Source organism: Homo sapiens, chromosome 6 (genome assembly GCF_000001405.40).
Source record: "Homo sapiens chromosome 6, GRCh38.p14 Primary Assembly".
In the NCBI taxonomy this organism is placed as follows: Eukaryota; Metazoa; Chordata; class Mammalia; order Primates; family Hominidae; genus Homo; species Homo sapiens.
The window spans coordinates 33228249-33240371 of NC_000006.12; positions in this window are offsets into that span (position 1 = coordinate 33228249).

Consider the following 12123-nt stretch of genomic DNA (forward strand, 5'->3'; position numbering starts at 1 on the left):
AGCATTGTCGTGAGAGTAAATAAGTTGTGTGAAGTGCTTTAGAACACTTACCTGGCTTAGAGTAACTGCTCTAGGCTACTGTTTTTGTTGTTGATGCTGTTATTATGGTTGTTGTTAGGTATCACCTCCAGCTGCATATAAACTCTTTTTTAATCTCAACTTCTAAAAATCTCATAAGAACCTTACTTGGCAACGAAAGTGCCCCAAAACTGAGAAGACCCAGACTCTTCCTTCAATGATCTAGATCAATTTGCACCTCAAATTCCTGTAAGGGCCAGGCAAGTAATGTGCCAAGTGCCAAGGGAAGGCTATAACAGGCTGGAGGGCACCCTCCCCTCCTAGAGGGGCAGCAGCTCCTGGTCCAGCGTTGCCGCATAGGAATTCAGAGCTGGCACTGCCGTGATAAATTGAAAATCTCAATTTTTCTGTAAAATCACTCTTTTTATTTTTCCTTTTTTTTTTTGGCAGGATCTCACGTTGTCACCCAGGCTGGAGTACAGTGCCATGATCCCAGTTCACTGCAGCTTTGACCTCCCAGGTCCAAGTGATCCTCCCATCTCAGCCTCCCAAATAGCTGGGACTACAGGTGTGTGCTGCCACACCTGGCTAATTTTGTATCATATACATATATATATAAACATACACATACACATATGTATATATACATGTATACATATGGGTTCAAGCATTCTTCTGCTAATTTTTTGTATTTTTAGTAGACGTGGGGTTTAACCATGTTGGCCAGGCTGGTCTCGAACTCCTGACCTCAAGTGATCCACCCGCCTTGGCCTCCCAAAGTGCTGGGATTACAGGCATGAGCCATCGCACCCAGCTAATTTTTTTAGTTTTTGTAGAGAGATGGTCTCACTATGTTGTCCAGGCTGGTCTCAAATTTCTGAGCTCGAGTGATCCTCCCACCTCAGCCTCCCAAAGTGCTGGAATCTCAGCCATGAGACACGGCATCTGGACAAAATATAAATGATAATGAATACACATCAATATTTTAAATCAAACACATTTAGATAAAGCTGACTTTTTGCCTGCTTTTTTTTGAAATTTTGGGCTGGGCCCAGTAGCTCACACCTGAAATCCCAGTGTTTTGGGAGGTCAAGGTGGGCAGACTGCTTGAGCCCAGTGTTTTGAGACCCCCCTGGGCAACATGGTGAAATGCCATCTCTACAAAAAATAGAAAACTTAGCCGGGCATGGTGGCACACATATGTGGCCTCAGCTACTCTGGAGGCTGAGGTAGAAGGATTGCCTGAGCCTGGGAGGTTGAGGCTGTAGTGAGCCATGATTGTGCCACTGCACTCCAGCCTGGTGACAGAGTGAGACCCTGTCTCAAAAAAATATATACATATTTATTAATTTTTATTATGTATTGCTATGGCATAAATGTTTGTGCCCCCCTAAAATTCATAAATTGAAACCTAATCCCCAATGTGGTGATATTAAGAGATGGGGCCTTTAGAAGGTGATTAGGTCATGAGGGGCCTGTCCTCATGAATGGGATTAATGCCGTTATAAAAGAAGCCCAGGCTGGGTGCGGTGGCTCATGCCTGTAATCCTAGCACTTTGGGAGGCTCAGGCGGGCTAATCATTTGAGGTCGGTAGTTCAAGACAAGCCTGGTCAACATGGAGAAACCCCATCTCTACTAAAAACACAAAAATTAGCCAGTCATGGTGGCAGGCATTTGTAATCCCAGCTATTCAGGAGGCTGAGGCAAGAGAATCACTTGAACCCTGGAGGCAGAGCTTGCAGTAAACCGAGATCACGCCACTGCACTCTAGCCTAGGTGACACAGCGAGACCCTGTCTTAAAAAAAAGAGGCCCAAAGGAGCTTGTTTGCCCCTTCCACCCGTGAAGATGCAGCAAGAAGGCGCCATCTATGAAGCAAAGTGTGCCCTCACTGGCTACCAAATCTGCTGGCACCACCTGCTTGGACATTCTAGCCTCCAGAACTGTAAGCAGTGTTTATTATTTATAAATTGCTCAGTGTAAGGTATTTTGTTATAGCAGTCTGAATGGACTAAGACAGATAGTTTTATAAAAATTAAACTACAGTTGGCATTTTGTATCTGTAGGTCCACACCTATGGATTCAACCAACTGAAGAATAAAAATATTTTTAAAATATATATGGCCAGTCCGGGCGCGGTGGCTCACGCCTGTAATCCCAGCACTTTGGGAGGTCAAGGCGGGTGGATCACAAAGTCAGGAGATCAAGACCATCCTGGCTAACGCGGTGAAACCCCATCTCTACTAAAAATGCAAAAAAATTAGCCGGGCATGGTGGCGGGCACCTGTAATCCCAGCTACTTGGAAGGCTGAGGTAGGAGAATGGCGTGAACCTGGGAGGCAGAGTTTGCAGTGAGCTGATATCCTGCCATAGCACTCCAGCCTGGGTGACACAGCAAGACTGTCAGAAAGAAAGAAAGGAAGGAAGGAAGGAAGGAAGGAAGGAAGGAAGGGAAGGGAAGGAAGGAAGGAAAGAAAGAAAAAATAATACAAATAAAAAATACAGTATAACATATATTTATACAGCATTTACATTGCGATAGGCACCATAGATAACCTAGGGATGATTTAAAGTATGTGGAAGAATGTGCATAGGTTATATGCAAATACTATGCCATGTTATACAAGGGGTTTGAACATCAGTGGGGGTTTTGGAATCAATCCCTGGTGAATACTGAGGATGATTGTATTCATAATCTCGTATTCAATGTCCATCTATTACAACATAAAGAATCAATATCATACTTCACAAGAGTTATATCTAGACCTACATGTATTCAATTTTTTTTTCAATAGGCTTTTGGGGAACAGGTGGTGTTCAGTTACATGAATAAGTTATTTAGTGGTGATTTCTGAGATTTTGGTGCCCCCATCACAGGAGGAGTGTACACTGTAAATGTGTAGTTTTTTATCCCTCACCACCCCTCCCACCACATGCATATAAATTTAACAGTAATAAGGATTGTTTAATACAGCAACATGTTCCTCAGCTATCCTTTGCAACTGTTGTAAATGCAGCACAACATACATCCATACCTCTAAAACAAAGAGAAACAAGAAAAACCACACTCAACACTATTGGGAAATGATACTTTGTCATGCTATTTGAGAGGTAATATTTAACAAGCTGGTTAAAGTGATTTCACTTACATGTTTCCACTGCTTAAATCCTCCCTACACTCCAAAGCAGTACATGCTTCAGAATCCAGGCAGAGGCACAACCTCAGATTTTCACAGAATTGGCTATAGTCATCTTTTGTTTCCAGGATACAGGGCAAGAGATTACAGAAGTCACCATTCCCCAGGGCTTGAACGGCGTTGATTACAAGAGCAGATGTGTAAGATTTCAGGTTGTGCTGTTCCAGCACTGACAGCAGATCAGTGACAGAGGTGCCCAGGTGTCATGTAATAAATGTGTGTGATAAGTTGTTTGTGATAGGTGAATCCCCCTAAAGTATGTGGGCCAGGGCAGGGCCCCTGTGGTTCAGATCTGAGGATGATACTGCTTCTGTGGGAAGATCATGACTTCTGTTTCAAATATGCTAAGTTAAGCTGGGCACCGTGGCTCATGCCTGTAATCCCAGCACTTTGGGAAGCTGAGGCAGGTGGATCACCTGAGGTCAGGAGTTTGAGACCAGCCTGGCCAACATGGTGAAACCCCATCTCTACTGAAAATACAAAAAGTTTGCCGGGTGTCGTGGCGGATGCCTGTAATCCCAGCTACTCCGGAGGCTGAGGTAGGAGAATCACTTGAACCCAGGAGGCGGAGGTTGCAGTGAGCCAAGGTCTTGCCACTGCACCCCAGCCTGGCCAACAAGAGCGAAACTCTGTCTCCCAAAAAAAAAAAAAAAAAAGCTAAGTTAGTAATACCTTTGGGACATCCAAGTAGGGATGCCAGGCAGGAAGGTGGTCAAATCTGGAGATTTGAGGCAAGAGATAAATTTGAGAGTAACCAGCTGATGGGAACTGAAGCCACAGGACAGGTGTGATCCCCTAGAAGGAAAGGGTAGCATAAGAAGAGGAGGGTCCAGGACCGACCTCTCTTGATGAACTCCAATATGACCAGGTGATTTCAGTCAAAGGCGGAGTGAGCCGGCTGAGGGGTGGAAGAGCAGCCGATGGAGGGATGGGAGGAAGCCAGAAGAGGCCAAATCCTGGAGGCCAAAAAACGACAGTGTTTCAAGAAAGAACTGGCCAGCAACGTCAGCTACTAGTGGCAGTTCAAGTAAGAAGAAAACGAAACAATGGACTTAATGACATAAAGTTCATTGCAAAAAAACATTTGAGTAGCAGCAAGGTAGAGATAAACACCAGCCTGAAAGGGTCGAGCAGTGAGTGGAAGTGAGAGAATTTTGCCCAGTTTTTTTATTATGAAAAATTTCAAACATACAGAAAACTTGAAAATATAATACAATATTGTTTGTATGTCGATCATTTTACTTAGATTTAACAATTGTTATTTATACATATATACAAATATTTATATATTATATATATACAAACATATATATATACACACACATATATATATGGTTCTTTTTTTTTTTTTCCAAGACAGGGTCTCACTTCATCGCACAGGGTGGAGTGCAGTGACCTGATCATAGCTCATCTCAGCTTCAAACTTTTGGGCTCAAGCGATCCTCCCACCTCAGCCTCTCAAGTAACTGGGGCCACAGGTGCATGGCACCATGCCCGGCTAATTTTTAAATTTTTTGTAGAGACAAGGTATCGCCTTGTTGCCCAGCTGGTCTCAAACTGGACTCAGGTGATCCTCTTGCTTTGGCCTCCCAAAGTTCTGGGATTACAGACATGAGCCACAGTGCCAAGGCCTATATACGTCTTTGTGGGCTTGTTTTTAGTTTTTTGTTTTGAGATGGAATTTCGCTCTTGTTGCCCAAGCTGGAGTGCAATGGCGCGATCTCGGCTGTACGCAACCTCCGCCTACTGGGTTCAAGCAATTCTCCTGCCTCAGACTCCCGAGTAGCTGTGATTACAGGCATGCGCCACCACGCCAAGCTAATTTTGTATTTTTACTATAGATGGGGTTTCTCCATGTTGGTCAGGCTGGTCTTGAACTTCCGACCTCAGGTGATCCGCCTGCCTCAGCCTCCCAAAGTGCTCGGATTGATTACGGGCATGAGCCACTGTGCCCAGCCCTTTTTTTTTTTTTTAAACATAGAAATTGTTGAGTGACTACTAAAACATTCTTGGACCATATGAAAATATAGGAAAGCATGTGCTTCACACCTAAGTACCTCAGCATGCATCTCCCAAAAATAAGGAGATTCCATAACCACAATACGTAATCACAGCTAAGAAAATAATGATCATGGCCAGGCACGGTGGCTCACACCTGTAATCCCAGCATTTTGGGAGGCTGAGGCAGGAGGATCACAAGGTCAACAGATTGAGACCATCCTGGCCAATATGGTGAAACCCCGTCTCTACTAAAAATACAAAAATTAGCCGGGCGTGGTGGTGCATACCTATAATCCCAGCTACTTGGGAGGCTGAGGCAGGAGAATTGCTTGAACCCAGTAGGGACAGGTTGCAGTGAGCTGAGATTGCGCCACTGACCTCCAGCCTGGTGACAGAGCAAGACTCAGTCTCAAAAAAAAAAACAAAATTAGAAAATAACGATCATTTCTTCACTTCATCTGATAGCAGAATATACTCAAATATTCCCCAGTTAGCCTCAAAATGTCTTTTATATATATATTTATATATATATATATCTTTCTTTTTAATTTCTTTCCTTCCTTTCTTCTGTTTTTCCTTCCTTCCTTCCTTCCTTTCTCTCTCTCCTCCCTTTCCTTCCTTCCTTTCCTTCTTTCTTTTTTGACTGGGTCTCACTGTCACCCAGGCTAGAGTGCAGCAGTGCAATCACAGCTCACTACAACCTCCACCTCCCAGGCTCAAGTGATCCTCCCACCTCAGCCTCCTAAGTAGCTGGAACTACTATTTAGGTGTGACCCACCACACCTGACTAATTTTTGTATTTTTTTTTTTTTGTAGAGACAGGGTTTTTCTCTGTTGCCCAGGTGGGTCTTGAACTCCTGAGCTTAAGTAATCCACCTGCCTTGAACTCCTGAGCTCAAGCAAAGTGCTGGAATTACAGGCGTGAGCCACTGCATCCAGCCTATGCATATATTTCAAATCAGGATCAAATCAAGGTACATGCGCTGCATGCATTGTGTTCCTCTTGGAGGGGTGTGGATCTGGTGACAGATGGTTGAGGGAGCTCACCTCTGATGACTTTCATTTTCTCTGTGACATAAGAGGGAGGTCATCAAGTGAGCATGAGGTGAGAGACAGAAGAGCCTCAGAGGTTCAAGGATCAGGGAGGTTTAACGTAGCCATTGACCAGAGTGATGTGGTTGGGCCACTAAACAATTCTGGGAGCCTCCTTAGAGTTCATGATCATGAGTGAGGAGTGGGAACCATTTCCTGATTGTGTGATTTCCCCCACCACCACCAACAGTTCTTGGCTATCAGAGTAAAATCCTGAAGAAAACAGATCACTGGGCTCATCCAGGGTTGGGGTTTTGCCACTTGGGTACAAAGGATGAAAATACAGAGGGGAAGGGGAGTTGGCGACATTGTCCAGAGAGGTGTTGAAATGAAGGGTTGTGGAGTTGAGCTGAATAGGGAGGGGCTCATAAGCTGGAAGACGGAAGGCATCATTGATCCAAAGGTCCTAGGAGACTGAAAATTGGTTGCGAGGAGGGCAGACAGACTGATGGACAGACGGTTAGGAGGTGGGGGCCAAGAGCAGGCTGCTTGACTGATTCTCAAGGAGGGGCTCTTTCAGGTGATAAGGTCCAGGGTATGACAATGAGAATGTGTGGCCGAGTTGGAGAGGAGAAGATTCTTGGGGATTAAGTGGCCAGGTTATTGAGAGGTCAAGTAGGGAATGGATCCTCCAGGTGGACAATGAAGTCTCCCAGAGGGAGGACTCAATGCAAAGACAGACGGTCAGCTGGGCCAGCGTTCCCCTGAGTGAGGTGGAGGGGTCTGGCAGACAGTAGCAGTGAGAAAGGAAGAGGAAAGTTTAGCCTAATTGCAGTGCCTGGAAGGCCGCGGGTTATTTTAAACTAGAGTTGGGGGCTGGGGGAGGAGTAGTCCGGAGGCAGCAATCTGAAGCCAGGAGAGCACCCTCAGCTGTAAGAAAATCAACAGCTCTCATTTCAGAAGCCTGCAAAGGAGGTAGTGCCCTCAAGGGAGAGTTAAATTTCACTTAACGCCAGGAAGTGGAGGGAATGCTCCAAGGAGAAGCTAAGGGTATGAGGGGGGCTACAGTTTATTAGAGGGCACAGGCAGGTTAGGGAGGGGGAAAGTGGAGGGCTGAGTCAGAGCCAGAAGGTACAGAGTGTCATGGAGACACAGTGCAATAGAGTAGGTGGGCTTGGGAGTTTATGTTTTCACTATGAAATGATAAAAACAAGGACAGGAGGCAGGCTGGATTTCACCCAGTTAGTTTCTTGGAAGCTGTAAAAAGTGGCGTTTAAGAATGTAGCCTTGGCCAGGCACGATGGCTTATGCCTGTATCCCAGCACTTTGGAAGGCCAAGGCAGGCGGATCGCTTGAGGTCAGGAGTTTGAGACCAGCATGGCCAATATGGTGAAGCCCCGTCTCTATTAAAAATGGAAAAAACAGCCAGGAGTGGTGGCAGGTGCCTGTAATCCCAGCTACTCGAGAGGCTGAGGCAGGAGAATTGCTTGAACCCGGGAGGCGGAGGTTCCAGTGAGCCAAGATCACGCCACTGCACCACTCCAGCCTGGGGGACAGAGCAAGACTCGTCTCATTAAAAAAAAAAAAAAAAAAAGAATGTAGCTTCAGGCGGGGTGCAATAGCTCACGCCTCTAATCCCAGCACTTTGGGAGGCCAGGAGTACAAGACCAGCCTAGCAAACATGGTGAAACCCCATCTCTACTAAAAAAAATACAAACATTAGCCAGGTGTGGTGGTATGCACCTGTAATCCCAGCTACTTGGGAAGCTTAGGTAGGAGGATGACTTGAGCCCAGAAGGTGGAGGTTGCAGTGAGCCAAGATGGTGCCACCACACTCCAGCCTGAGCAACAAAGCCAGACCCTGTCTCAAAAAAAAAAAAAAAAAAGAAAAGAAAAGAAAGAAAAGGAAGGAAGGAAGGAAGGAGAGAGAGAGAAAGAAAGAAAAGATAAAGAAATAAAGAAAGAAAGGCAGGCAAGAAAGTGGCTTCTAAAGCAGAACTGGCTGCATTCCAATTCCAGCTTTGTCATGCACTAACTGTCCTGTCTATAACCTTGGCAAGGTCTCTGGGCATCAATTTCCTCTCTGTAAAATGGGGATAACACTAGTACCCACCTCACAGGGTTGCTGTGACAATTCAAAGATGCAATGTGTTAAATGTTGATATGGTTTGGATCTGTGTCCCCACCAAATCTCATGTAGTCCCAGTGTTGGAGGTGGAGCCTGGTGAGAGGTGGTTGGATTATGGGAGTGGATTCTCACGAATGGTTTAGCACCATCCTCCTGGTGCTGTTCTCATGATAGAGAGTTCTGGCAAGCTCTGGTTGTTTAAAAGTGTGCCGCACCTCCTCCCTCTCTCTCGGCTCCTGCCATGTGAGAAGGCTCGCTCCTCCTTTGCCTTCTGCCATAATTGTAAGTTTCTGGAGACCTCCCCAGAAGGCAAGCAGATGCCAGCATCATGCTTCCTGTAGAGCCCACAGAACCATGAGCCAATTAAACCTCTTTTTTTTTTTGAGATAGGGTCTTGCTCTGTCGCCCAGGCAGTGGCGCAATCACAGCTCACTGTAGCCTCTACCTTCTGGTCTGAAGCAATTCTCCCACCTCAGCTCCCCAAGTAGCTAGAACCACAAGCACATGCCACCATACCCAGCTAAGTTTTGAATTTTTTATAGAGACGGGTTTTTGCCATGTTGCCCAGGCTGGTCTCAAACTCTTGAGCTCAAGTGATTAACCCTCCGGCCTCAGCCTCCCAAAGTGCTGCTAGGATTACAAGCATGAGCCACTGTGCCCAGCAAACATCTTTTCTTTTCTTTTTTTCCGAGACGGAGTCTTGCTCTGTCACCCAGGCTGGAGTGCAGTGGCATGATCTTGGCTCACTGCAACCTCTGCCTCCCCGGATCAAGTGATTCTCCTGCTTCAGCCTCCCAAGTAGCTGGGATTACAGGTGCTGGCCACCATGCCCGGCTAATTTTTGTATTCTTAGTAGAAACGGGGTTTCACCATATTGGCCAGGCTGGTCTCAAACTCCTGACCTCAAGTGATCCACCTGCCTCAGCCACCCAAAGTGCTGGGACTACAGGCATGAGCCACCGCGCCCGGCAACCTCTTTTCTTTATAAGTTACCCAGTTTCAGGTATTTCTTTATAGCAGTGCGAGAAGGGACTAATGCAAATGTTTACAACAGTGCGCAAATATTTATAACAGTGCTTGGGCTGTCACCTCAGACACACTTGGTGGAGCCTTGCAGGCCCAGCAGAGCAGCCTCTTTGATTACCTGAACCCTGCCCCTGGCTAGGTAGGAAACATGAAGTGGATGATAATGATGACTTGATGAGCAGTTGTGAATGCATAAATTATATGGAGACACTAAGGACTGCAACAGACAAGAAGATCTCAGTGACAAACGGGTTATTTAGGGCAGCAGCCAACTGACTCCCACAATGAGTGGGATCTGGACAAGAAGGCGTGGTTTCCCAAGGCCACTGAAGGTTTCATTGCTACATACCCAGCCAAGTGTGGCTTTTCTAATGGTGGGGCATCTAGCTCTCCTGCAAATGTACAAAATGTCAATGCTAGGAATGCAGAATTTCTGCAAAGAAAACCCCCCAAACCCACTGATCCTAAAAACAGGGGAGATAAAAGAAAAATGGAATGAGGATAATTTCATGTTGAAGAAGACAGAAATACAAATGTCTATATATCTGGTTTGCCTCCAGGAGAAATCCTCAGAAGACTTCAAAGTCAAGCTTTATGAAGATGATCAAAGAAATCTTAAAGGAGATGCGCTTTGCTGTTACTTGAAGAGGGAATCTGTGGGCCTTCCATTAAAGCTTTTGGATGAAAATGAAATTAGAGGCTGTAGGCCAGGTGCAGTGGCTCACGCCTGTAATCCAAGCACTTTGGGAAGCTGAGGCAGGTGGATCACCTGAGGCCAGGAGTTCGAGACCAGCCTGGCCAACATGGCAAAACACCGTCCCTATTAAAAATACAAACATTAGCCGGGCATGGTGGTGCATACCTGTAGTTCCAGCTACTCAGGAGGCTGAGGCAGCAGAATCGCTTGAACCCTGGAGGCAGAGGCTGCAGTGAGCCGAGATCATGTCATTGCACTCCAGCCTGGGCAACAAGAGTGAAATTCCATCTCAAAAAAAAAAAAAAAGAGGTTACAAGAAGAAGCTGTCACTACAACAAAAGCTGTTGGTCTGGGGATCTGCAAGGGAGCTGGGCCATCCAGAAGGTACCATAAGCAAGTTGTCATAATCAAACATATGTTTCATCCTATGGATATTTTTGGTTGTTTTGTTTGTTTTCTGAGATAAGGTCTCACTATTGCTCAGGCTGGAGTACAGTGGCGTGATCACAGCTCACTGTGCAGCCTCAACCTCCTGGGCTCAAGGAATCCTCCTATCTCAGCTTCCCAAGTAGCTGGGACCACAGGTGTACACCACCATTCCTGGCTAATTTTTTTAAAAAAATTTTTGTAGGCCGGGCATGGTGGCTCACACCTGTAATCCCAGCACTTTGGGAGGCTGAGGCGGGTAGATCACGAGGTCAGGAGTTCGAGACCAGCCTGGCCAACGTGGTAAAACCCTGTCTCTACTAAAAATACAAAAATTAGCTGGGCATGGTGGTGGATGCCTGCAATCCCAGCTACTCGGGAGCTGAGGCAGAGAGTCGCTTGAACCCTGGAGGCGGAGGTTGCAGCGAGCCGAGATTGCACCACTGCACTCCAGCCTGGGCGACAGAGTGAGATTCCGTCTCAAAAAAAAAAATTTTTTTTTGTAGAGAAGGTGTCTCACCATGTTTCCCAGGCTGGTCTTGAACTCCTGGGCTCAAGAGATCTGCCCCTTGGCCTCCCAAGGTGTTGTAGTCACAGGCATGGGTCACTGCACCCGGCCCATCCTGTGGATTTTAAGGATGATGAGTTGGTGCTAAATGAGCTCAGAGAACTTTCAGTGCTCAACATTGAGACCAATGAGGAATGTTTTGTTTGACAGACTCATGGATGGTGTGGACTCTGTGTTCTGGAGGAATGCAGAGGAAACGGATTATTATATTCAAGTCCTCCTTGGAAGGTGGTTTGTTGACCCAGACATGGAATAAGGTTACAGACTATTAGGTTCAGGGGACCTCAGGAAAAAGGAGGAAAATCTAAGGGGATGGGAGGCTTTCCTCAGTGCCTGTGAGGCCAACAGACACTTTCAATCTCCAATGTGTGTATGCTTCAGAAAGGGCAAGATGTTGGCTGTCCTTTCACTCTCCACCAGCTGAAATGTGGTCTCTTCCCATTATCGCCATTCTGACCACTCTTCCCAAGTCACAGACACTTCTCAGATGCCAAACCCAAAAGGCGTGGCTGAATTCATTTGCATCAACTCAGGCAATGAATTTGGGAGGAGAGTTCGCTTGTCAGAACGTAAGAACGTCACATTTTGCAGTTGGTAATGTGGAGTCTAGGGACCCTTGGAATCACTTCCCTAGCTGATCGCCAGCACACCCTCTTTCATTCATTCAATCACACTTTAGCTTAGGTGCAGCTGGGAAGGGACTTCGCGGATGTAATTAAAGTCACAAATTGGTTTATCTTGAGGTAATCCAAAGGGAGACTGTGCAGGAGAGGTCTGACTCAATCACATCCAAAGCCTTCAGTGGTGGCTGGAGAGGAGAAAACACATTTCTGCACTTAGGAACCTCCTTTCTCACCTCAATTCTAGCAGCTCAGATGAGGTGTCAGCTCCCTGCAGGCTCTGGATGAGTCCGTGGGGCCACAGAAAAAAGAACTGCAGAAAACTCAGGAATAAAAATGGAGACAGTGACACTTCCAAGTAAAACTACTAGAAGTCTTCAGAAAGTAAGGCAAGAAAAGGAAACTTGAGG